The sequence below is a fragment of the Homo sapiens genome, chromosome 6, assembly GCF_000001405.40.
Source record: "Homo sapiens chromosome 6, GRCh38.p14 Primary Assembly".
NCBI lineage: Eukaryota > Metazoa > Chordata > Mammalia > Primates > Hominidae > Homo > Homo sapiens.
In genome coordinates, this window is record NC_000006.12 from 17,720,652 (window position 1) to 17,746,213 (window position 25,562).

Here is a 25,562-nt window from a genome sequence, read left to right on the forward strand (position 1 = left end):
GAATTAGCAAGTAGTTGTGTGCACTGGAGTGACTTGCAGTCTACACATGCTCTTTAGCTTGGAGTTACTGGAATTGTAAGAAACTCTGAACCACAAGCACGTCTCTTCTTCCACCCTGACCCCACCAAGCTGTTAAATGGTTTGTCAAGGGATGTCACTCTTATTCATTGTATTAGTTTCCAGTGCAGCAAACATAAATCTTATGTCCACAACTTATGTGGTATGCTGTAAATGTAAATTGATATTCTTTTTTTTTTTTTCCCTGGAGACAGGGTCTCCCAGGCTGGAGCACAATGGTGCAATCTCAGCTCACTGGAACCCCACCTTCCAGGCTCAGTCAGTCCTCCCACCTCAGCCTCCCAAGTAGCTGGGACTACAGACACCACCACACCCAGCTAATTTTGCATTTTTGTAGAGACGGGGTTTTGCCATGTTGCCTAGGCTGGAATTGATATTCTTTAACTCAACAAAATTTCTGTTTCAAAACCCCATTATTATTATTATTATTATTTTTGAGACAGAGTCTCACTCTGTCGCCCAGGCTAGAGTGCAGTGGCGTGATCTCCACCTGCCAGGTTCAAACGATTCTCCTGCCTCAGCCTCCCCAGTAGCTGGGATTACAGGCACCCATCACCATGCCTGGCTAATTTTTTGTATTTTTATAGAGACGGGGCTTCACCATGTTAGCCAGGATGGTCTCGGTCTCCTGACCTCGTGATCCACCTGCCCCAGCCTCCCAAAGTGTTGGGATTACAGGCATGAGCCACGGCACCTGGCCTACAACCCCCCATTGTTTTTAAGAGGTGGCAGAATATAACCTCAGTCAAGTCAGGGTTCACTGTCCCTGTCCCTTTTCCTAGAATTGTTCCCAGAGCTCACATAGTGCTATGTATGTGTGTGGTGGGTGGGGCGGGGGCTGGGGGGCGGGGGGAGCTTCCGTTCTTTGCTGTCCTCTGTGAAAATTACTACCGAGCCCCTCTCATTCCTGTCCATGTGGCCCCTTCAATCCAGGTGCTTTCTATTCTTCCCTATTCTACTCAGGCGCAAGCATCATCCTATTGTTTCTGTTCCATGCTAAGCCTTCAAACCCTTCTTGCACAGTGTAGCCAACTCTCTCCGGATTTTTTTTTTTTAAGTCTACAGCACCCGGTATTCCCAGGAGATCTCCCATCCAAGCACTTACCAGGCCCAGCCCTGCTTAGCCTCCAAGATCAGATGAGATCAGGCACATTCAGGGTGGTGTGCCCTGTACCTCTCTAGGTTCTTACTGCTCCACTGGAGTTCTTGGGGAGTGAAGCAGGGTCTGTTCTGCCATTTAATCCTACAAACTATCTCTCCAGGGCTCTTCTTCCAGGGAAAGGCACACAGTCCCTCTAGAGGAAACAAGGGCACCTGTGTCCTCTGGGTTTCCTCTTCCCTTCTGTACATTTTTCTCTCTGCCTAGGCAATTTTTTTCCTAAGGATGACTGGAGGGAGGCCCACCTTCCTAAGCATCCCCACTGTCCAGCTCTCAAACATTTTTCCTGTGTATCTATTTCTCTAAAGAGCTTAAGTTTTTGGAAATTACTGGACATTTATTTCCTTTTCACCCTGGCTGCTTCTTCCCCCAAGGCAATGAACACAAAAGAATTTAGCTGCTTGCAAGCAGGGGGAAAGAAGATAAGGAGCACTAAAGAGGAATGTACCCTAACCAGCTTTACACATCCTGGGGCTTTTTTTTTTTTTTTTTTTTTACAGAATCTTGCTCTGTCACCCAGGCTGGAGAGCACTGGCGTGATCTTGGCTCACTGCAACCTCCATCTCCCAGGTTCAAAGGATCCTCCCGCCTTAGCCTCCCGAGTAGCTGGGATTACAGGCATGTGCCACCACACCCAGCTAATTTTTGTATTTTTAGTAGAGATGGGTTTCACCATGTTGGCCAGGCTGGTCTTGAACTCCTGACCTCAGGTGATCTGCCTGCCTTGGCCTCCCAAAGTGCTGGGATTACAGGCGTGAGCCACCACGTCTGGCCGTCTCAGGCCTTCTTTTCAAGGCCAGAACTAAAAATTAGGTCCTGATTTGATTAACTTCTACCTTTCCATAGTAGTCCACCAGTCTGGCATCTGCATTAGATAGGAATAATTGATTGATTGATTGATTGATTCGAGACAGGGTCTTGCTCTATTGCCCAGGCTGGAATACAGCAGTGCCATCACAGCTCTCTGCAGCCTTGACCTCTTGGGCTCAAGTGATCCTCCTGCCTCAGCCTCCTGAGTAGCTGGGACTACAGGTGTGTGCCACCACACCCAGCTTTTTTTTTTTTTTAATTTTTAGTAGAGACAAGGTTTCACTGTGTTGCCAAGGCTGGTCTCAAACTCCTGGCTTCAAGTAATCCATCCACCTCAGCCTCTCAAAGTATTAGGATTACAGGTGTGAGCTGCTGCACTTGGCCTAGATGAGAAATACTTAAAGCATAGGTTCTCAGGCTACACTCTAGACCTACAGATTCTCTAGAGTTGAACTTACAAATCTGTCTTTTAACAAACTCCCAGTATTTTGCTTATGTACTCAGTTGCACTGGTCCTCCGACTTGGTTTTGGCTAAAACTCCCTGAAAGTCACTTTCTTTCCCACATCTTCTGTCTTTTTTTCTGTTTCTTTCTTACCCCAGTAGTGGTAACATCCAGTTAGAGTCCCTTCCATATAACCAAAATCTGGTGTGGAGTTCTGTATCCATTTCTCAAAGGGAAGATAAGGTGGAGGGCAAGAGGATGTTCATGTGTCTTGTTTACTCTTACCCATTTTTTAGCCTTATTTATTTATTTATTTATTGAGACAGAGTTTCGCTCTTGTTGCCCAGGCTGGAGTGCAATGGTGCGGTCTCGGCTCACTACCACCTCCTGGGTTCAAGTGATTCTCCTGCCTCAGCCTCCTGAGTAGCTGGGATTACAGGCATGCGCCACCACGCCCGGCTAATTTTGTATTTTTAGTAGAGAGGGGGTTTCTCTATGTTGGTCGGGCTGGTCAGGCTGGTCGCAAACTCCCAACGTCAGGTGATCCGCCTGCCTCGGCCTCCCAGCGTGCTGGGATTACAGACGTGAGCCACCGCGCCTGGCCTTTTAGCTCATTTTTATCATCCTGTTCATGCTCCAAGTTGAAAATCATAATCTAATCCACCAAACAAGCCCATCTGAAGAGCGTATCTTCAACCTGTGTCAGATGCAAAAATATTTTGCAGCAGCCAGAAGTGGTGGCGGGCACCTGTAATCCCAGCTACTTGAGAGACTAAGGCAGGAGGATTCCTTGAGCCCAGGAATTTGAGGCTGTAGTGCGCTGTGATCACTCCTATAATAGTCACTGTACTCCGGCCTGGGCAACATACTGATGCATCGTCTCTTTAAAAAAAAGGGTTTTTTGTTTGTTTGTTTGTTTGTTTGTTTGTTTTTAAATTCTTGCCATTGAGCTTCAGAAAAAACCAAAAACTTCCAAGAGACCTAAATGCTGTTTGATTCTTATGGAGAATCATCAGCATATATAAACCTCCCAGTTTTTCAAGGTTTGGGGATACTTACAGAGGAAACAGACTAATCTATTTATATATCCCCAAAGTAGATAAATTACATAGTAAGTTTTTTTTAGATTGCTCGCATGGATGTGTTTATTGTTAAACCCCAGCCTAATTTATTTGGAGAGAAGAGTTCACTCTCTTTTAAGTGAATATGGCTAGGTAGGCCATGTTTGGCTGCCAATATCTTCAACCTATTTTATTCCAAAATGAGGTAGGAGTGCTGAGCTAAACTGGTGCCCTTAAGGGTTACGTCCTAGAGACTAAAGATGCATTCACTGAAAGTCATTCATGAGCAATGATTGGGAAGACTCACCTGCTGGAATGGTTGTTGATATTTATAAGTCAGCAATATTTCTTGACTCAACAAAAAGTCATGCATTGTTATGATGACATCAGCATACTAAAATACTACTCCATGTGAAATAACAAAGCAAAGAATATTACAGCTGGGCATGATGATCACACTAGAAATCCTAGCACTTTGGGAGGCTGACGTGAGAGGATCACTTGGGCGCAGGAGTTCAAGACCAGCCTGGGCAACACAGTGAGACCTCACCTTTAATTAAAAAAAAATAATAATAATCAAAGCAAATTACGAACAAAGAAGAGGGGCAGGCTGAGCAGGAGGCAGAGAAATGAACTGTAGCCTAAGCAGGTTCCAGTAATTACCTCTTTTATTTTAAGAACTGAATATCTCGTTCCAGGCTCAAATTATCGAGAAGTACATCTTTTCCTTTAAAGTTGATTAAGCAGCGGTATCTCTTCCAAGCTGAAAATATTATAACAGATGCCAACTGTCTGCAGAGGACTCTGCTAGATGCTGTAAATAAAGAAAACAAGTTTTCCTGCACAGAATGTCCTTTGTTTCCTAAAAGGTTGGTACAGAGTTGGAGTTAGAGACCAAAGAAATCACAGACTTCACAGGTTGAAAGGAACTATAATGTTCTCTTAGGCCAGTCCCACAAGTAATGGGTGAATTATTCCTTCTGCTTCCCCTCTGAGCGCCCATTGGACTTGGGCCTTATAGCTCCGGAAATGCAGATCTGTGCTTCCTGACGGGTGGAGAGCAGTCCTGGCTGGTAGCAGCTGTGTCTGAGTGGGAGTCGGCAGGAGGGAGGGCGCCATGGGAACAGCTTGCATTAGGCTGCTTGCTGCTCCTGGCTGAGCCCTGGGGGCGTGCTCTGGGGACTTGGCCTGGATGGACTTGAACCTTAGGCAGACTTTATCAGCAAGTGCTCCCTTGGCTAAAAAGCTGATTTCTCATACTATTTGCATTGTTTTAGGTATTTCTACTTTAGACAAAAGAACTTGTTCTTTGTGACGCTTTGTCCAGGTGGGAATCTTTTTTTTATTTTTTTATTTTATTATTCATTCATTCACTTAATAAATTTTCATCGAGTTACTCCTGTTTCATTAAAGGCAACTGAGGGTTGGGCAGGCGGCGCAAAGGCAGGTGGCGGTGGCTCATGCCTGTAATCCCGGTACTTTGGGAGGCTGAGGTGGGTAGATCACCTGATGTCAGGAGTTTTGAGACCAGCCTGGCCAACACGGTGAAACCCCTTCTCTACTAAATACAAAAATTAGTGGGATGTGGTGGTGGGAACCTGTAATCCCAGCTACTCGGGAGGCTGAGGCAGGAGAATTGCTTGAACCTGGGAGGTGGAGGCTGCAGTGAGCCGACATTGCGCCACTGCACTCTAGCCTGGCTGACAGAGTGAGACTCCGTATGACCAAAAAAAAAAAAAAAAAAAAAAGGCCGGGCGCGGTGGCTCACGCCTGTAATCCCAGCACTTTGGGAGGCCGAGGCGGGCAGATCACGAGGTCAGGAGATCGAGACCATCCTGGCTAACACGGTGAAACCCCGTCTCTACTAAAAATACAAAAAATTAGCCGGGTGTAGTGGCGGGCACCTGTAGTCCCAGCTACTCGGGAGGCTGAGGCAGGAGAATGGCGTGAACCCGGGAGGTGGAGCTTGCAGTGAGCTGAGATCGCGCCACTGCACTCCACTCTGGGCGACAGAGCGAGACTCCGTCTCAAAAAAAAAAAGAAAAAAGGCAACCGAGGCTCAGAGAGCTTAGGTTAAATACTCAAAGTCACAATTTTGTGACTAAGTGACAGAATGGACATCTCCTGACTCAAATTCCAGTGTGTTTTATACTATTTTGGGGGTGGTATTACATTATTTTCATCGAGTAGTTTTTAAAAAACTCAATATTGTTTATTAAAGTACATCTCTGGCCGGGCGCGGTGGCTCATGCCTATAATCTCAGCACTTTGGGAGGCTAAGGTGGGTGGAACGAGGTCAGGAGTTAGAGACCAGCCTGGCCAACAGGATGAAACCCCGCCTCTACTAAAAATATAAAAATTAGCTGAGGGTGGTGGCGTGCACCTGTAGTCCCAGCTACTCAGGAGGCTGAGAAAGAAGAATCACTTGAACCCGGGAGGCAGAAGTTGTAGTGAGCCGAGATCGCACCATTGCACTCCAGCCTGGGCGACAGAGTGCTCCATCTCAAAAAATAATAATATTAATAAAGTACTTCTCCTATTTCTCTTTCATTGACAGCACTAGGATGACACAGATGCAGAAAGGACAAAAGGGAACTGACAGACACTGAAATTTTGTAATACACCAGGTTCAATATCAGACACCTTATATGTAGCATCTCATTCAATTTTCACAATCATCCTATAAAATAGTATGTACTATTGCTCCCATTTTTCTTCTTTTTTTGTTTTCATTTTTTTCCTCCCATTTTACAGATAAGGAAATTAGGGCTTAGAAAGGTTAAATAGGCCAGGTGCAGTGGCTCACGCTTGTAATCCCAGCACTTTGGGAGGTGAAGGTGGGAGCGTTGTGTGAGGCCAGGAGTTCAAGACCGGCCTGGGCAAGATAGTGAGACCATCTCATCTCTACAAAAAATAAAAATTTAAAAATTAAAATACATTTGTTAAAAAGATTAACTTGCCCAAGTTCACCTAGGTGTCAAGTATTAGAGGTAGGGTTTCTTTTTGAGATGGAGTCGCACTCTGTTGCCCAGGCTGGAGTGCAGGGGCCCGATCTCAGCTCACTGCAAGCTCTGCCTCCCGGGTTCACGCCATTCTCCTGCCTCAGCCTCGTGAGTAGCTGGGACTACAGGCGCCCGCTACCAGGCCCGGCTAATTTTTTTTTTTTTTGTATTTTTAGTAGAAACGGGGTTTCACCGTGTTGGCCAGGATGGTCTCAATCTCCTCCTGACTTTGTGATCCGCCCGCCTCGGCCTCCCAAAGTGCTGGGATTACAGGCGTGAGCCATCGTGCCCGGGACTAGAGCTGGGTTTTGAATCGAGTTCTTTCTTACCCAAAAGTCATTAAATATACTGCCTCCCATGCCCCTAAGCAAGATAAACTGGATATCTAAATGCCCACTTAATTCCAATTAGCTCTGCTCAAATTTTACATGTACTTCAAGGGAGAGCCTTTATACTGGCCTTTGATCCTGAGCTTAATTGACCAGGAGACACTGACAGTCCTATGTAAAAAAAAGTTAGTCAATTAACACTCGCATTTTTACCTAGGCCCAAAAATAGCTGAAGGGGATTACTTGAACAAAATAAGTGAGAAGAAAAGGTTACTAGAGTTCCTATGATCTCTGACCTTCTGGAACCGCTCTGATTGTTTCCAAATTTATGCTGTGAAAGTTAATTTTAGTTTTTCCCACCAGAGCTTTCATTCATTGATCTATGCACTTGAAGTCACATAGGATTCAAATCCTCTTCCATATGACAATGCTTCAAATTATTTGCAGTGGGCTTTCAAGTGTTCCTAGGGTTTGAGTGGGAGGTGTGGCATAGAGTTGGGTTACCGGCCTCTGATGAAACATGGCATATTAATCACACACTTTTGTATCCTTTCCCCTCCAAAACCATGTATGTGATAGCAAGTAAATAAAGGTATTAAACCAATAGGTAAAAAGGAAGGAAAAGATGACAACAGCGGACAATTTGTTTTGTTTTGTTTTTGTTTTTTTTTGAGACAGAGTCTTGCTCTGTCGCCCAGGCTAGAGTGCAGTGGTGCCATCTCGGCTCACTGCAAGCTCTGCCTCCCGGGTTCAAGCGATTCTCCTGCCTCAGCTTCCTGAGTAGCTGGGACTACAGGCGCCCGCCACCACGCCCGGCTAATTTTTGTATTTTTAGTAGAAACGGGGTTTCACTGTGTTAGCCGGGATGGTCTCAATCTCCAGACCTCGTGATCCGCCCGCCTTGGCCTCCCAAAGTGCTGGGATTACAGGCGTGAGCCAGCGCGCCCGGCCTTTTTTTTTTTTTTTTTTTTTTTTTGGTGATACGGAGTCTCACTCTGTCGCCCAGGCTGGAGTGCAGTAGCACGATCTCGGCTCTTTACAACCTCAGCCTCCCAGTGAGAAGTGACAGCCTGCTGGCAGCCCTCACTCTTGGCGCCTCCTCGGCCTCGGCGCCCACTCTGGCCACGCTTGAGGAGCTCCTTCAGCTTGCCACTGCACTATGGGGCCCCCCCTCTGGGCTGGCCAAGGCCAGAGTTAGCTCCCTCTGCTTGCAAGGAGGTGTGGAGGGAGAGGCGCCGCGGGGAACTGGGGCTGTGCGCGGCGCTCGGGGGCCAGCGCGAGTTCCGGGTGGGCGTGGGCTCGGCGGGCTCCGCACTCGGAGCGGTCGCCCCACGCCACAGGCCCTGGGCAGTAAGAGGCTTAGCAGCTGCGGAAGGTGTGCCAGGTCCCCAAGCAGTGCCGGTCCACCGGGGCTGCGCTTGAATTCTCCCCGGGCCTCAGCTGCCTACCGGCGGGGCAGACCTCCAGACCTGCAGCCTGCCATGCCCCAGCCTACCCCCGCCGCCACCACCGCCGGCTCCTGCGCGGCCCGAGCCTCCCCGACAAGCGCCGCCCCCTGCTGCGCGGCGCCTGGTCCCGTGGACTGCCCAAGGGCTGAGAAGTGCCGGCGCACTGCGGGAGACTGGCAAGCAAGTCCACCTGTAGCTCCAGTATGAGATCCACTTGGTGAAGCCAGTTGAGGTCCTGAGTTTAGTGGAGACTTGGAAATGGAAAACCTTTATGTCTAGCTAAGGGATTGCAAATACACCAATCAGCACTCTGTGTCTATCTCAGGGTTTGTAAATGCACCAATCAGCACTCTGTATCTAGCTCAAGGTTTGTAAATGCACCAATCAGTGCGCTGTGGGGACTTGGAGAACGTTTGTGTCTAGCTCAGGGATTGTAAACACACCAATCAGCACCCTGTCAAAATGGACCAATCAACTATCTGTAAAACAGACCAATCAGTTCTCTGTAAAATGGACCAATCAGCAGGATGCGGGTGGGGCCAGATAAAGGAATAAAAGCAGGCTGCCGGAGTCAGCAGTGGTAATCTGGTTGGGTTGCTTTCTGTGTTATGAGGGCTTTGTGTTTTTTTGTTCTTTACGTTAAAACTTGTTGCTGCTCCCTTTGTGAGTTACATCATTGAATGCAAAGGTTTGTCGTTTCATTGTTGAGTCAGCAAGGCCGTGAACCTACCAGAAGGGTAAAACTGTAAATATGTCATCTTTAGTAGTAGTTTAATAGTCATCATCCGCAGCTTCATTTTTCAAGTCAGTGAGATCAAGAAACAACAAATTAGGGACACATCAGGTTCTAAGTGATTCTCTTGCCTTAGCCTTCCGAGTAGCTAAGACTTACAGGCGTGCACGCCACCACATTGAGCTAGTTTTTTGTATTTTTAGTAGAGTTTTCACCATGTTAGCCAGGCTGATCTTGATCTCTTGAACTTGTAATCTGCCCATTCTCAGCCTCCCAAAGTGCTGGTATTACAGACATGAGTCACAGTGCCTGGCTGACGAAATTTTTTTGGGAGAGGGAAAGCAAATAGAAAAGAGAACCTCATTTAGCAGGGCAGAGAACATTACAGACTAAAGACCAGGAGAAGGTATTTGAGATGTAAAGAGAACCTCGAGGTTCTTGGTACAATGGGAAGCTGGAGAGAGGCCCATGGCTGAAAACAAGGAGATGGGTTCGGAGTCTGGGTACACACCTACTGATTCCCAGTTCTTCTCTCCTACCTTAGGCAGCCAGGGTGGGAGAGGAGAACTGGGGATTAGTAGGTATGTACCTCTCTCCTCATCTTCATAGGAGTCCAGAGGTTTATTTTCCAGAGCATTGAACCCGTGGGGTCTGGTTCAGAGTATCTGCTTAGTACAGTGAATAAATGTACAAAAATAAGTGAACACCTTCTAATTGAACGTGGAATGGGATCTGCACACCTAGAACACTGCAACTTCCCACACCTACTTCCCCTCCCTCATGCACTGCCTGTTAGTCACTTAGTAGCTGTCTCTCTCAGATTGGCTGACATACTGTGTATATAGGATTTAATACTATTTGTGGTTTCAGGCATCCTCTGGGGGGCTTGGAACATATCTCCCACGGATAAAGGGAGACTTCTGTACAATACAAGAGCTTAAGAATGCTTTTCACGCCAATGACTCCTCTTACCATTGACCATATTTTAGTTCTTTGTTTTCACACTATCACGTTTTGTTTTGTTATTTTGTTGATGCTTGTTTTGATTTACCCACATATTGATACCCACATATTGACCAATTCCTTTGCTCACTACTCTTTCTTGATTCTTCTTCCTTCCTTCTGGATTTCTTTCTTTTCCTTCCAGACATTAAACTGATCAGAACAGATACTACACTTGATCCTAGCCAAAAGGCCAAGAAGTGATTAATTTCCTCCTTCTTAAAGTGCTTCATTAAATAGTTCTTTCATTTATTTATTTGTATTTATTTATTTTTTAGAGAGTCTCACCTTATTGCCCAGGCTGGAGTGTGATGGCACAATCACAGCTCGCTGCAGCCTCAAACTCCTGGCCTCAAGTGATCCTCCAAGCTCAGCTTCCCAAAGTGCTGGGATTACAAGCATAAGCCACTGCACCTGGTCCCTTAAATAGTTATTTTAATAGGATCACCTATAAATGATAAATTCCTTCAGTCTTTGCCTAAACTATTATTTGACCTTTTCATGAATTGTCGACTAGTAGAAACTGAAGTATAGGTTGGCATTTTCTCTCAGAATTTTGAAGCTGTTCCTTTATCTTTTGATTTCTATTGGTATGTTTGAAAAGTCTGCTGTCAATCCGATTGTCAATTCTTTTTCATTTGTGTCTTTTTTTTTTTTTTTTTTTGAGATGGAGTTTTGCTCTGTCACCCAGGCTGGAGCGCAGTGGCACGATCTTGGCTCACTGCAACTTCTGCCTCCCAGGTTCAAGTGATTCTTCTGCCTCAGTCTTCCAAGTAGCTGGGGTTACAGGTGCACACCACCATGCCTGGCTAATTTTTGTATTTTTAGTAGAGATGGGGTTCACCATATTGGCCAGGCTGGTCTCGAACTCCTGGCCTCAGGTGATCCACCCAACTCGACCTCCCAACATGCTGGGATTACAGGCATGAGCCACTGTGTCTGGCCTCATTTCTTTATTAATTTTTTATTTTTATTTTTTTTGAGACGGAGTCTCACTCTGTCACCCAGGCTGGAGTGCAGTGGCGCAATCTCAGCTCACTGCAAGATCCACCTCCCATGTTCACACCGTTCTCCTGCCTCAGCCTCTCCAAGTAGCTGGGACGACAGGCGCCTGCCACGCCGGGCTAATTTTTTGTATTTTTAGTAGAGACAGGGTTTCACCGTGGTCTTGATCACCTGACCTCGTGATCTGCCCGCCTTGGCCTCCCAAAGTGCTGGGATTACAAGTGTGAGCCACCGTGCCTGGCCTATTTATTATTAATAATAATAATAATAATTATTATTATTATTTTGAGACGGAGTCTTGCTCTGTTGCCCAGGCTGGAGTGCAGTGTCATGATCTCTGCTCACTACAAGCTCCGCCTCCTGGATTCACGCTATTCTCCTGCCTCAGCCTCCCGAGTAGCTTGGACTACAGGCACCCGCCACCATGGCCGGCTAATTTTTTGTACTTTTAGTAGAGACGGGGTTTCACCATGTTAGCCAGGATGGTCTCGATCTCCTGACCTTGTGATCTGCCCGCCTCGGCCTCCCAAAGTGCTGGGATTACAGGCGTGAGCCACCACGCCCAGCCCTTATTATTATTATTTTTTAGTACAGATGGGTTTTCACCATTTTGGCCAGGCTGGTCTCGAACTCCTGACCTCAACTGGTCTGCCCACCTCACCCTCCCAAAGTGCTGGGATTACATAGGCATTTAGCCACCATGCCTAGCAATTGTCATTAATTTGTAACTAATATCTATTTTATCTGAATGCTTTTAAGATATTTTATTTATCTTTGGTGTTCTGCAGTTTCATGTAACATGTCTAATTATAGACTTTTGAATGTATGTGTCAAGAGACTTATTGTACCTCCTGAATCTGAGAACTCATGTCCTTCATCAGTTCTGAAAAATGTTCAGCAATTGAATCTTCTCCCTTTGCCTTCCCCATTCTTGCATGCTTGTTTTCCTTTGATACTCATATTGATTTATAATTGGTCTTCTCATTCTGTCCTTCATCTCTGTTGCTCTTCCATATTTATCTCTTTTCTTCATCTCTCTGTGCAATACTTTTTAAAAAAATCTCTTCCACCTTTACCCGTCTTTCTTCCTCAATGTCTTCTCTGCTGTTAACACATTTATTGAGAGTGCGTTTGTTTGAGACAGAGTCTGGTTCTGTTGCCCAGGTTGGAGTGCAGGTGTAATCATAGCTCACTGCAGCTTCAACCTCCTGGGCTCAGGCAATCCTCCTGCCTCAGCCTCCCAATCACAGACACTTACCATTATGCCCAGCTAATTTTTAAATTATTTGTAGAGATGGAGTCTTCCCATGTTGCCCAGGCTGGTCTCAAACTCCTGGGCTCTAGTGATCCTCCAACTTTGGCCTTCCAAAGTGCTGGGATTACAGGCAGGAGCCACCATGCCCGGATTCATTGAGTTTTTAATTTGCATAAATGTAGCTTTCATTTCTTCAGATTCTTGGGTCTTTTCCCAATATTCCTCTTCTTTTTTATATTATTTTATTTCCTTTTCAAGTCTTTTAAAATGTCTAATTATTTAAAAGATAGTTATTTGATAGTGCCTATCTAAGAGTTGTGTATCTTAAATCTTAGTAATCTAATTTTGCTGTTTTTGTCTTTGCTGATTCTTCTGTTTACTTTGTTGATTTGTAATTTTTTAAATCATGAACTCATTTTCAGCAGGGCTTTCTCTGTGAATGTTCTTGCTTTTCTAGTTCCTTGAGATGCATCATTAGATTATTTTATTTTTTGAGATGGAGTTTCACTCTTGTTGCCCAGGCTAGAGTGCAATGGAGTGATTTTGGCTCACTGCAACCTCTGCCTCCCAGGTTCAAGCAATTCTCCTGTCTCAGCCTCCCTCGCTGGGAGCCTTCCTTGCTGGGATTATAGGCACCTGCCACCACGCCCAGCTAATTTTTGTATTTTTTTAGTAGAGATGGGGTTTCACCATGTTGGCCAGGCTCGTCTTGACCTCCTGACCTCAGATAATCCACCCACCTTGGCTTCCCAAAGTCCTGGGATTACAGGTGTGAGCCACCGCACCTGACCAGAAACATGTTACTTAACTTCCTTGTATTTGTACAATTTCAAAAGTTCATTATTGATTTCTAGCTTTATTCCATTATTGGCAGAAAAGGTATTTGATATGATTTCAATTCTTTTAAGTTTGTAGAGACTTGTGGCCTAACGTGGTCTGTGCTGGAATATGTTCCATGTGCTGATGAAAATATTGCACACTTACTAAGAACTAGGTAAAAGACAAAAATAATGTGTATTCTGCAGCTCTTAGAGGAAATGTTGTGTAAATAGCTGTTAGGTCCATTTGGTTAGAAGTCCAGTTTTTCTTTTTTTTTTTTTTTTGTATTTTTAGTAGAGACAGGGTTTCACCGTGTTAGCCAGGATGGTCTCGATCTCCTGACCTCGTGATCCTCCTGCCTCAGCCTCCCAAGGTGCTGGGATTACAGGCGTGAGCCACCATGCCTGGCCCAGTTTTTCTTTTTTTATTTTCTGTCTAGATGATGTGTCCAATGCCGAGAGTGGGACATTGAGATCCCCAACTACTTGTATTGGAGTCAGCCTACTTCTCTTTTTTTTTTTTTGAGATGGAGTTTCACTCTTGTTGCCCAGGCTGGAGTGCAATGGCATGATCTCAGCTCACCACAACCTCTGCCTCCGAGGTTCAAGTGATTCTTATGCCTCAGCCTCTCGAGTAGCTAGAATTACAGGCATGCGCCACCACGCCCAGCTAATTTTGTATTTCTAGTAGAGACGGGGTTTCTCCATGTTGGTCAGGCTGGTCTCGAACTCTCAACCTCAGGTGATACGCCCGACTTGGCCTCACAAAGTGCTGGGATTACAAGCATGAGCCACCGCACCCAGCCGCCTATCTCTCTTTAGCTCTAGTACTTGGTTTATGTATCTTCATACTCCAGTGTTGGGTGCATATGTATTTATAATTTTTTTTTTTAATTGATCATTCTTGGGTGTTTCTCACAGAGGGGGATTTGGCAGGGTCATAGGACAATAGTGGAGGGAGGGTCAGCAGATAAACAAGTGAACAAAGGTCTCTGGTTTTCCTATGCAGAGGACCCTGTGGCCTTCCACAGTGTTTGTGTCCCTGGGTACTTGAGATTAGGGAGTGGTGATGACTGTTAACGAGCATGCTGCCTTCAAGCATCTGTTTAACAAAGCACATCTTGCACCACCCTTAATCCATTTAACCCTGAGTGGACACAGCACATGTTTCAGAGAGCACAGGGTTGGGGGTAGGGTCACCGATCAACAGGATCACGAGGCAGAAGAATTTTTCTTAGTACAGAACAAAATGAAAAGTCTCCCGTGTCTACCTCTTTCTACACAGACATGGCAACCATCCGATTTCTCAATCCTTTCCCCGTCTTTCCCCCCTTTCTATTCCACAAAACCGCCATTGTCATCATGGCCCGTTCTCAATGAGCTGTTGGGTACACCTCCCAGACGGGGTGGTGGCTGGGCAGAGGGGCTCATCACTTCCCAGTAGGGGCAGCCGGGCAGAGGCGCCCCTCACCTCCGGACCGGGCGGCTCGCCGGGCGGGGGGCTGACCCCCCCACCTTCCTCCCGGATGGGGCGGCTGGCCGGGCAGAGGGGCTCCTCACTTCCCAGTAGGGGCGGCCGGGCAGAGGCGCCCCTCACCTCCCGGACGGGGCGGCTGGCCGGGCGGGGGGCTGACCCCCCCCACCTCCCTCCCGGACGGGGCGGCTGGCCGGGCAGAGGGGATCCTCACTTCCCAGTAGGGGCGGCCGGGGCGGCTGGGTGGGGGGCTGACCCCCCCACCTCCCTCCCGGATGGTGCGGCTGGCCGGGCGGGGGGCTGACCCCCCCACCTCCCTCCTGGACGGGGTGGCTGGCCTGGCGGGGGCTGACCCCCACCTCCCTCCCGGATGGGGTGGCTGCCTGGCAGAGACGCTCCTCACTTCCCAGATGGGGTGGCTGCCGGGTGGAGGGGCTCCTCACTTCTCATATGGGGCGGTTGCCAGGCGGAGGGTCTCCTGACTTCTCAGACGGGGTGGCTGGGCAGAGACGCTCCTCACCTCCCAGACGGGGTCGCGGCCGGGTAGAGGCGCTCCTCACATCCCAGACGGGGTGGCGGGGCAGAGGCGCTCCCCACATCTTAGATGATGGGCAGCCGGGCAGAGACGCTCCTCACTTCCTAGATGGGATGGCGGCCAGGAAGAGGCGCTCCTCACTTCCTAGATGGGATGGCGGCCGGGCAGAGACGCTCCTCACTTTCCAGACTGGGTAGCCAGGCAGAGGGGCTCCTCACGTCCCAGACGATGGGCGGCCAGGCAGAGACGCTCCTCACTTCCCAGACGGGGTGGCGGCCGGGCAGAGGCTGCAATCTTGGCACTTTGGGAGGCCAAGGCAGGCGGCTGGGAGGTGGAGGTTGTAGCGAGCCGAGATCACGTCACTGCACTCCAGCCTGGGCACCATTGAGCACTTAGTGAACCAGACTCCGTCTGCAAACCCGGCACCTCGGGAGGCCGAGGCTGGCGGATCACTCGCAGTTCGGAGCTGGAGACCAGCCCAGCCAACACAGCGAAACCCCGTCTCCACCAAAAAAATACGAAAACCAGTCAGGCGTGGTGGCGCACGCCTGCAATCGCAGGCACTCGGCAGGCTGAGGCAGGAGAATCAGGCAGGGAGGCTGCAGTGAGCCGAGATGGCAGCAGTACAGTCCAGCTTCGGCTCGGCGTCAGTGGGAGACCGTGGAAAGAGAGGGAGAGGGAGACCGTGGGGAGAGGGAGAGCGGGGAGAGGGAGAGGGGAGAGGGGAGAGGGAGAGCTAAAGCATGTATTTATAATTGTTATATCCTCTTGCTAAATTGATCCTTTTATCATTATATAATCACTTTCTTTGTCTTTTTTTATCGTTTTTGAATTAAAGTCTGTTTTATTTCATGTAAGTACAGCTACTCCCAGTCACTTTTTGTTTTTGTTTGCATGGAATATCTTTTTAATTATTTATTTTGTGAGATGGGGTCTCGCTCTGTCACCCAGGCTGGAGTGCTGTGGTGTGATCATGACTTACTGCATCTCTGAACTTCTGGGCTTAAATGATCCTCCTGCCTCAGCCTCCCAAGTAACTGGGACTACAGGTGTGCACCATCATGTCCAGTTAATGTTTAAATTTTTCGTTGAGACAGGGTCTTGCTCTATTGCCCAGGCTGGTCTCAAACTCCTGGGCTCAGGTGATCCTCCCACTTCAGCCTCCCAAAGTGCTGGGATTATAGGCATGAGCCAACGTGCCAAGAATGCATGAAATATCCTTTCCACCCATTCACTTTCTGTTTAATATGTGTTTTTACAGTGAAGTGAGCTTCTTACAGGCAGCATGTAATTGGGTCATGGGTTTTTTTGTTTTTTGACAGAGTCTTGCTCTGTCTCCCAGTGGTGCCATCTTGGCTCACTGCAACCTTCACCTCCCAGGTTCAAGCTATTCTCCTGCCTCAGCCTCCTGAGTAGCTGGGACTACAGGCACCTACCACCACACTCGGCTAATTTTTTTGTATTTTTGGTAGAGACAGGGTTTTACCATGTTGGCTAGGCTGGTCTCAGACTCCTGACCTCAAGTGGTCCACCTGCCTTGGCCTCCCAAAATGCTAGGATTACAGGTGAGAGCCACCGCTCCCAGCTTGGGTCATGGGTTTTAAAAATCTATTCAGTCAGTTCGTATCTTTTCGAAACATTCACATGTATTTTTTAAGGCTAGTCAAGTGAAACAGTGGGAGTGGAGAAGGAACAAAGAAATCTGTAACTGGTTATGTTCAGTAAGTTGTAAACACCTCTGCACTCAGACCCTCAGGCTTTATCTTTTAAGAAGGAGTTCAATCCATTTACATTCAAGGATTCAAGGTTATTATTGATAGGTTAGGACTTACTTCTGTCATTTTGTTAATTGTTTTCTGATTGTTTTCGTATATCCATTGTTCCTTTCTTCCTTTCTTATTGTGTATCATTGTGATTTGGTTGTTCTCTGTAGTAATAAGGTTTGATTCTTTGCTTTCTTTTTTGTGTATCTGCCTAGCAGTGAGTTTTATACTTGTGTGTTTTCATGACAGTGATTATCATCTTTTCACTTTCAGATGTTGCAATCCCTTGAGCATTTCTTGTAAGGCTGCTCCATTGGTGATACATTTCCTCAGTTTTTGCTTGCCTGGGAAAGACTTTATTTCTCCCTCATTTCTCAAATACTAGGTGTCGTATTCTTGACTGGCAGATTTTTTGTTCAGCACTTTGAATATATCATCCCATTCTCTCATGGCCTGTAAGGTTTCAGTGGAAAAATCTGATGTTAGTCTAATAGGAATCCCCTTATATGTGACTTGACAGTTTTCTCTTGCTGTTTTTAGGATTCTCTTTTTCTTTGACTTTTGACAATTCAACTATAATGTGCCTCAATGAGAACCTTTTTGAATTCTTCAGCTGCAGGATTTGTTTGGTTCTTTTTTTAAAAAAAAAAAGTTATAATGGAATCTAATTTATTATGAAGAATATGAATAAAGGCTACTTTTGGACCTGCAAATCGTATGTTAAATATTGAGGGGAGAAAGGAGAAATAAAAAGGAATACACATGAAAAGTGGGAGTGGTGCAAATGTGGAGGGAACATTCTTAGAAAGAGGCAAAGAGTTCAGAAGGGTATGGAGGGACAGTGGAGGCACTCATATATGGGGTACATGTGGGCAGCGGTTTGCAGCAGAGGAAAACAATCAGCTATTTGATGCTCATTCCATAAAGAGAGTTAGGCCACTGAAGGAGTTGGTTTATATACATTATCTTATTTAATCTGCCCATTAACTGGTAAGACTGATATTGTCCCTGCTTTATATGAAAAAACAGATTTACATGAATATGTCCAGGTAACTGGTGGCTAAATTACAAGGCAAAACAATGTCTTCCCTACTCTAAAGCCCAGTTCTTGTCTTTAGCATTTGATAAATTTTACTTGTTGAGAGTGCTATATTTGTAATGTCATTCATTTTCCCTTACCAATATATACCCTTCTCCAAGCTAAATCAGGTGTGTCCCACACACATATACACAAATTCCACATGGCATAAATCACATTATCATACCTATAAAAGGAACAATTTCCACTTACAGCTACATATACCTAGGAGAGGTCAAAATTGAGTGCTGGGTTTCATCAAAAACTGTTTTCAACCAGGTAAAGTCATTAAACAACCATAAACTTTCAGCAAACTAACATCCTACAATTAGAATTTTGAGTAATCTGGTATGTACAAAATATTATTGGACCAAACTACAGACTACTTTCTGACCAATGGACTGGATTTAGCCAATCATGTTTAGACTTATGGACTCATTCTGTTTTATTTGCAAAGGGAGTTTTCAATCATTAGTATAACCGCCTTGAAGCCCCCTTTCTAATGGATAGAGCCCCTTGATCTTCCACTCTGACCTTCCAGTTAACTATTTAATAAATTTTGTCTATGTTGTGTGTTCGTTTGTCTGGCAGGCAAGCAAATAAACTCAGAATTGTGTGTTTTAAATGTTTGGTTCTTTTAAAATTATTTCTATTTTTGTTGAATTTCTCAGCCATATTGTGAATTGTTTTTCTGATTTTGTTAAATTATCTAGCTGTATGTTTTGTATCTCACTGAGTTTCCTTCAGATCATTATTTTCAACTCTTTTTCCAGCAATTTTTTGATTTCCTTTTTACTGGGGTCTGTTACTATACAGTTATTATGTTCCTTTGGTGGTGTCATATTTCCTTGCTTTATCATGTTTCTTGTGCGTCTGTGTTGATGTCTATGCACCCGGTAAGACAATTGCCTCTTCCAAACTTTTTTTTTTTTTTTTGAGACAAAATCTCACTCTGTTGCCCAGCCTCCCAGTTTCGAGTGACTGTTGTGCCTCAGCTTCTCGAGTAGCTGGCACTGCAGGCATGTGCCACCACACCCGGCTAAATTTTTTTTTTTTTTTTTTTTTGAGACAGAGTCTTTCTGTCACCCAGGCTGGAGTGCAATGGCGTGATCTCAGCTCACTGCAACTTCTGCCTCCTGGGTTCAAGCCATTCTCCTGCTTCAGCCTCCTGAGTAGCTGGGATTCTCCTGCCTCAGCCTCCCGAGTAGCTGGGATTACAGGTGCTCACCACTGCGGCTGGCTAATTATTTTTTGGTATTTTTTAGTAGAAACAGGTTTCGCCATGTTGGCTAGGCTGGCCTTGAACTCCCTGCCTCAAGTGATCTGCCTGCCTCGGACTCCCAAAGTGCCGGGATTACAGGTGTGAGCCATCATGCCTGGCTGCCTCTTCCAAACTTTCTGGAGTGGATTTTGCAGTAAAAGACTTTCACCTCTAGTTGAGTTTAGTGTGCCAGTTGGGAAGATGTAGTGACTCTGTTTCCAGATACGTGCAGTGGTATAGTCTGTGCAGCTTCTTCAGCTGCATTGAATGTCACCAATAAAAAAACACGGGCACCTTGGTGGCCTAGGCTGTTTGTGGCAGTGGTGGCAGCAGTGTAGGTTGTTAATATCCTGTGAGTTCCATGTTCAGGTGCTTGGAGTGGCTGTGGGGTGAGGGTCCTAGTCTCAGGGTCTCTCAAGCCTATTATGGCATTCGGGTCTTGGGATGCAGCTTTGCTCTCTGTGGGAAGTTTAGATGTAGGTTACCCAGAGCTAGGATCTGCAACCCTGAGGCACCCCACTAGGGGCTTGGGCCCCAAGGACTGCATTTTATAACTGTGATTCTAACTCTAGTGGGGATGGGGGACAAGGCAGAGCACTAACCTGACTCTGGCAATGAAGGGGTGCTCTAGAGGTTTGGGTCTGGGGATCAGGGTATAGCTGCGATTCAGGAACCTGAGCCAATAGAGCTCAGTGGGAACTGAGGTCCCAGGGGATGAGCCACTGTGTAGTGGTGACTCTAGACCCTGGGGTGGTGGGGCTTGGCAGTATCCCAGCCTCTGTGAGAGCAGGTGCAGTGGTAGCAAGTACCCCAGAATAATGGAGCACAGCTGTCATCTGGGACGTGGGTTGGGGCAGGAAACAGCATAGCAATGATTTTATTCTCCAGGGAGAGGGTGTCTCAGCAGCTCAGGCTCTAGGGGGATATTCCAGCCCCAGGGAAGCAGAGTGCTGGAGTTGTTTGGCTTGTAGGGTAGGGTGTCTCAGCTCAGCCACTGTTCTGTTTCCCTGGGATGCAGGGTCCTACCTCATCTCAGCCTAGAGATGCACAGCTGCTGAGATTGGCCAGGACACCGATTCCTTGGTGGGGCAATGTGCCAGTTCAGCTTAGGCCTGGGAGCATGACTGTTCTGGGCAGCCTAGGTACTATTTCCTTGGAATGCAGACAATTGCTTCAGCTTAGGTATTGGGGTGCATGATCGTTCTGGGTGGCCAATACACCATTCATTACCCGGGATGCCAGCTGCTGCATGAACTTAGGCACTGAGGAGACATGACTGCTCTGAGCAGCCAAGATACTGTTTTCCTGTGAAACAGGATACTGCTTTATTTTTATTTTATTTTATTTTGAGACTGAGTCTCACTCTGTAGCCCAAGCTGGAGTGCAGTGGCACAATCTCGGCTCCCTGCAACCTCTGCCTCCTGGGTTCAAGCGATTCTCGTGCCTCAGCCTCCCGAGTTGCTGGGATTACAGGTGCGTGCCACCACGCCCGGCTAATTTTTTGTATTTTAGTAGAGATGGGATTTCACCATGTTGCCCAGGGTGGTCTCAAACTCCTGAGGTAAGGCGATCCACCTGCCTCGGCTTCCCAAAGTGCTGGGATTGCAGGCGTGAGCCACCGCGCCTGGCCAGAAACAGGAAACTGCTTTAGCTCTGGCCTGAGGAGGAAACGGGAGGGGTAGGTGGCGTCGCTTCACCTCTGCCTGGCCCCATGGAGAAGGGTGTAACTGCTGCTCGCATTTCAGCTTGGGGATGTTGGGACACCAGGCTGGGAGGTTCAAAGGCAATTTAGCTTCAGGGATGAATGGGGATCTGTAACCACTTGCCCACAGAGCAAGTCACACCCCAGCCATAGTTCCAATTCAGCAGCATGTGGATCAGGGCGGGGGAGTGGCCAGTGCTGGCTCCTTCTTTTGGGGCAGCACAGCTGTGTGGACTCCAGGCAGCTTCCTCAGCTGGGCTTAGTGCCTATGAGGACTGCAGAGGACAGTGGTGAGGTTTGTAGGTGTCTAAAGTTGATGGGAGTTGCTAGGATCCCCTTGTTTACCTCTTTGCTGAAGGGAGAAGCTGGTTCTCAGCTGATCCCAATTAGGGGACAGAATAGTGGAGTCCTGGCATTTCCTTCCATTCTCTATGTGGTCATCCTGGGATTCTGTTACTCCTGTGGTGCACTCCAGCAGTCTCTCAGTTATTTTCATTAAAATGTCGTTGTTGGCCAGGTGCGGCGGCTCACTCCTGTAATCCCAGCACTTTGAGGCCGAGGCAGGCGGATCACCTGAGGTCAGGAGTTCGAGACCAGCCTGGCCAACATGGTGAAACCCCATCATGAACCCAGGAGGCAGAGGTTGCAGTGAACCAAGATCGCGCCACTGCACTCCAGTCTGGGCAACAGAGCAAGACTCTGTCTCAAAAAAAAAAAGTCATTGTTTATTTGTTGTTCTGGCTATCTTTGTAGGAGGAACAAGCACTAGGGGCCATCTGCTAATGTCACTTTCCATGTGGTCATCTTATAATGTCTAAAAACTGGCTTGCCCCAGTGAACCCTGGTGAGCTTCATCTTTCCATCTCAACTAGCTCATTAAAACATGTTTCTGAGCAGAGACAATATTCCCCTCACTACGTTCTACACCAAATGATTTTTATTTATTTATTTATTTATTTATTTATTTTTTTGAGTCAGAATTTCGCTCTTGTTGCCCAGGCTGGAGTAATAGCTCACTGCACTGTCCACCTCCTGGGTTCAAGCAATTCTCCTGCCTCAGCCTTCCGAGTAGCTGGGATTACAGGCAACCACCACCAGGCCCAGATAATTTTTTGTATTTTTAGTAGAGATAGGGTTTCACCATGTTGGTCAGACTGGTCTTGAACTCTCGACCTCAGGTGATCCACCCACCTCGGTCTCCCAAAGTGCTGGAATTACAGGCGTGAGCCACCGCACCTGGCCACAAATGATTTTAAATTTAATTTTAAAATGTGACCATATGAAGCTGGGCAGGTTGGTACACACCTATAGTCCCAGCTATTCAGGAGGCTGAGACTGGAGGATTGCTTCAGGCCAGGAGTTTGAGTCCATCCTGGGCAACATAGGAAGATGCTCATCTCAAAAAAAAAAAAAAAAAAAAAAAAGTGATTATGAAAATTGTTAAGACATTTTAAAAAAAGAATAGTGAAGGCCAGGTGTGGTGGGCTTGAGCTTGTAATCCCAGCACTTTGGGAGGCCGAGGCAGGAGGATCACCTGAGCCCAGGAGTTTGAGATGAGCCTGGGTAACATAGTGAGAAACTTTCTCTACAAAAATACAAAAATTAGCTTGGTGTGGTGGTATGCACCTGTAGTCCCAGCTACCTGGGAGGCTGAGGTGGGAGGATTGCTTGAGCCTAGGAGGTCGAGGATGCAGTAAGCCTTGTGCCAGCCTGGGTGACAGAGTGAAACGCTGTCTCAAAAAAAAAAAAAAAGGGGGAGACTTACCTTAACAACTTTTAAAATACGCTGTAAAGCTACTATAATTATAATTATGGTACATGTAAAGGATATAAACAAATCATTGAGGCAAAACAGAGTGAGAAAACCTAATATTTTCTTTCCAAATCCCAGTGAATGATCTTATGATCTTATACATCCCCTGGATTAGGCAACTTTCCTTGGGGTCACTGATCTATGGCACAGAGAGAAAAAATTGCCTATCAAGTGATTACAACTGTTTGGGAACGATGCCTAATTTGAGAGTGCACATATTCATTTCTATCTTGATTTTATGCTTTCATTAATTGACTGATGAGAAGACATTGTATCGTTGCATTTTTGGGATCTTCCTTCTATTAACTAATTCACTCTTTAATTAAAATGAGCAAACTGGTAGCATAAACTAAGTTAAACCCACACCAGCTATCTTTAAACTTGAAAACATTAAAATTTGACATACATCTTAAGAATTTTTCATATGCAAAAACCCTGTACTTAATTTGGGGCAAAGAAAGGTTAGTGAAGTATGGAAAAGGAACTGAGTTTAATTGGTTAAGCTAAACATGAAAACAACTGCAACGGAAAATAAAAAAACTTTTGAGAGGAAATCCAAATACTGAAGAAAAATGAAGAGGGAAAGCTATTTTGAGTAGTTGGCTTTTTAGCTAGGCCTTGAAGGATGAAGAGGATCTTGGCTTAGGACGGAGAGGATTCAAACTGCTGGAAAAGCGTGAGTTTTTGTGATCTATATAAGCATAGTTTGGATTTTTTTTTTTTTTTTTGAAGAGATATGGTCTTGTTCTGTCACCCCAGCTGGAGCTGGAGTGCAGTGCTGTGATCATAGCTCACTGTAGCCTTGACCTCCTAGGCTCAAGTGATCCTTTCCAGCTCAGTCTTGCAAAGTGTTAGTGTGTCTGGAATTGGTGGGTTCATTGGTCTCACTGCCTTCAAGAATGAAGCTGAGAACACCCTGCAGTGATTGTTACAGCTCTCTAAAGTGGCATGTCTGGAGTTTGTTCCTTCTGATGTTTGGATGTGTTTGGAGTTCCTTCCTTCTGGTGGGTTCGTGGTCTCGCTGGCTCAGGAGTGAAACTGCAGACCTTCACGGTGAGTGTTACAGCTCTTAAGGTAGCATGTCTGAAGTTATTCGTTCATTCTCGGTGGGCTTGTGGTCTTTCTGTCTTCAGCAGTGAGGCTGCAGACCTTCATGGTGACTGTTACAGCTCATAAAAAGCAGTATGGATCCAAAGGGTGAGCAACAGCAACATTTATCGCAGAGAGCAAAAGAACAAAGCTTCCACAGTGTGGAAAAAGACCCAAGCGGCTCGCCACTGCTGGCTCGGGCAGCCTGCTTTTATTCTCTTATCTGGCCCCACTCACATCCTGCTGATTGGTAGAGCCGAGTGGTCTGTTTTGACAGGGCGCTGATTGGTGCGTTTACAATCCCTGAGCTAGACACAAAGGTTCTCTAGGTCCCCACCAGATTAGCTAGATACAGAGTGTGGACACAAAGGTTCTCCAAGACCCCACCAGAGTAGCTAGATACAGAGTGTTGATTGGTGCACTCACAAACCCTGAGCTAGACACAGGGTGCTGATTGGTGTGTTTACAAACCTTGGGCTAGATACAGAGTGCCGATTGGTGTATTTACAATCCCTGAGCTAGACATGAAGGTTCTCCAAGGCCCCACCAGAGCAGCTAGATACAGAGTGTCGATTGGTGGATTCACAAACCTCGAGCTAGACACAGGGTGCTGATTGGTGTGTTTACAAACCTTGAGCTAGATACAAAGTGCCCATTGGTGTATTTACAATCCCTGAGCTAGACATAAAGGTTCTCCACGTCCCCACAAGACTCAGGATCCCAGCTGGCTTCACCCAGTGGATCCCGCACCGGAGCTGCAGGTGGAGCTGCTTGCCAGTCCCGCGCCCTGCGCTCGCACTCCTCAGCCTTTGGGTGGTCGAATGGACTGGGCGCCGTGGAGCAGGGGGTGGCACTCGTAGGGGAGGCTCGGCCCCATAGCAGCTCATGGAGCGGGTGGGAGGCTCAGGCATGGCGGGCTGCAGGTCCCGAGCTCTGCCCTGTGAGAAGGCAGTTAAGGCCCGGCGAGAAATCGAGCGCAGCGCCGGTGGGCTGGCACTGCTGGGGGATCCAGTACACCCTCCGTAGCCGCTGGTCCGGGTGCTAAGTCACTCATTCCCCCGGGCCGGCAGAGCTGGCCGGCTGCTCCGAGTGCGGGGCCCGCCAAGCCCGCGCCCACCCGGAACTCCAGCTGGTCCGCAAGCGCCGCACGCAGTCCCGGTTCCCGCTCGCGCCTCTCCCTCCACACCTCCCTGCAAGCTGAGGGAGCCGGCTCCACCCTCGGCCAGCCCAGAAAGGGGCTCCCACAGTGCAGCGGTGGGCTAAAGGGCTCAAGTGCCGCCAAAGTGGGAGTCCAGGCAGAGGAGGCGCCGAGAGCGAGTGAGGGCTGTGAGGACTGCCAGCACGCTGTCACCTCTCATTAGGATTACAGGCATGAGCCCATTAAAGATATTAAAGGCTGGGTGTGGTAATTCACGTCTGTAATCCCAGCACTTTGGGAGGTAGAAGTGGGTGGATCACTTGAGCCTAGGAGTTCAAGACCAGCCTGGGCAACATGATGAAACTCTGTCTCTACAAAAAATACAAAAATTAGCTGGGCATGGTGGCATGGGCCTATGGTCTCAGCTACTTGGTAGGCTGAGGTGGCAGGATTACTTAAGCCCAGAAGGTCAAGATTGCAGTGAGCCACGATCATGCCACTGTACTCCAGCCTGGGCAAGAGAGTGGGACCCTGTCTAAAAAAAAAATAATAATAAAAAAGATCT

At 47.1% G+C, this 25,562-nt stretch overlaps 2 pseudogenes, besides 8 other annotated features; both read right to left on the reverse strand.

The window, feature by feature from the left end:
• On the reverse strand, window positions 1,135-1,252 carry RNA5SP204 (RNA, 5S ribosomal pseudogene 204; annotated as a pseudogene).
• Window positions 4,185-4,686: an enhancer, noted in NCBI's record as "H3K4me1 hESC enhancer chr6:17725067-17725568 (GRCh37/hg19 assembly coordinates)". NCBI's record gives its function as "activates a minimal SCP1, AML or CMV promoter by ChIP-STARR-seq in naive H9 embryonic stem cells {active_cell/tissue: H9 hESC(naive)}" and the evidence as "EXISTENCE:reporter gene assay evidence [ECO:0000049][PMID:30033119]".
• Window positions 4,185-4,821: a biological region, named in NCBI's record as "Sharpr-MPRA regulatory region 4388".
• Window positions 4,527-4,821: an enhancer, noted in NCBI's record as "tiled region #4388; HepG2 Activating DNase unmatched - State 4:PromP". NCBI's record gives its function as "activates a minimal TATA promoter and a strong SV40 promoter by Sharpr-MPRA in HepG2 cells {active_cell/tissue: HepG2}" and the evidence as "EXISTENCE:reporter gene assay evidence [ECO:0000049][PMID:27701403]".
• Window positions 4,527-4,821: a silencer, noted in NCBI's record as "tiled region #4388; K562 Repressive DNase matched - State 5:Enh". NCBI's record gives its function as "represses a minimal TATA promoter and a strong SV40 promoter by Sharpr-MPRA in K562 cells {active_cell/tissue: K562}" and the evidence as "EXISTENCE:reporter gene assay evidence [ECO:0000049][PMID:27701403]".
• LOC124901554 (uncharacterized) lies at window positions 10,188-10,271 on the reverse strand (annotated as a pseudogene).
• Window positions 20,923-21,482: an enhancer, noted in NCBI's record as "H3K27ac-H3K4me1 hESC enhancer chr6:17741805-17742364 (GRCh37/hg19 assembly coordinates)". NCBI's record gives its function as "activates a minimal SCP1, AML or CMV promoter by ChIP-STARR-seq in primed H9 embryonic stem cells {active_cell/tissue: H9 hESC(primed)}" and the evidence as "EXISTENCE:reporter gene assay evidence [ECO:0000049][PMID:30033119]".
• Window positions 22,100-22,331: a silencer, noted in NCBI's record as "fragment chr6:17742982-17743213 (GRCh37/hg19 assembly coordinates)". NCBI's record gives its function as "represses an EF-1alpha promoter that drives an FKBP-Casp9 reporter gene in an ReSE screen in K562 erythroleukemia cells {active_cell/tissue: K562}" and the evidence as "EXISTENCE:reporter gene assay evidence [ECO:0000049][PMID:32094911]".
• Window positions 23,353-23,553: a silencer, noted in NCBI's record as "peak5708 fragment used in MPRA reporter construct". NCBI's record gives its function as "represses an SCP1 promoter by STARR-seq MPRAs in K562 erythroleukemia cells {active_cell/tissue: K562}" and the evidence as "EXISTENCE:reporter gene assay evidence [ECO:0000049][PMID:32103011]".
• Window positions 24,901-25,401: an enhancer, noted in NCBI's record as "H3K27ac hESC enhancer chr6:17745783-17746283 (GRCh37/hg19 assembly coordinates)". NCBI's record gives its function as "activates a minimal SCP1, AML or CMV promoter by ChIP-STARR-seq in primed H9 embryonic stem cells {active_cell/tissue: H9 hESC(primed)}" and the evidence as "EXISTENCE:reporter gene assay evidence [ECO:0000049][PMID:30033119]".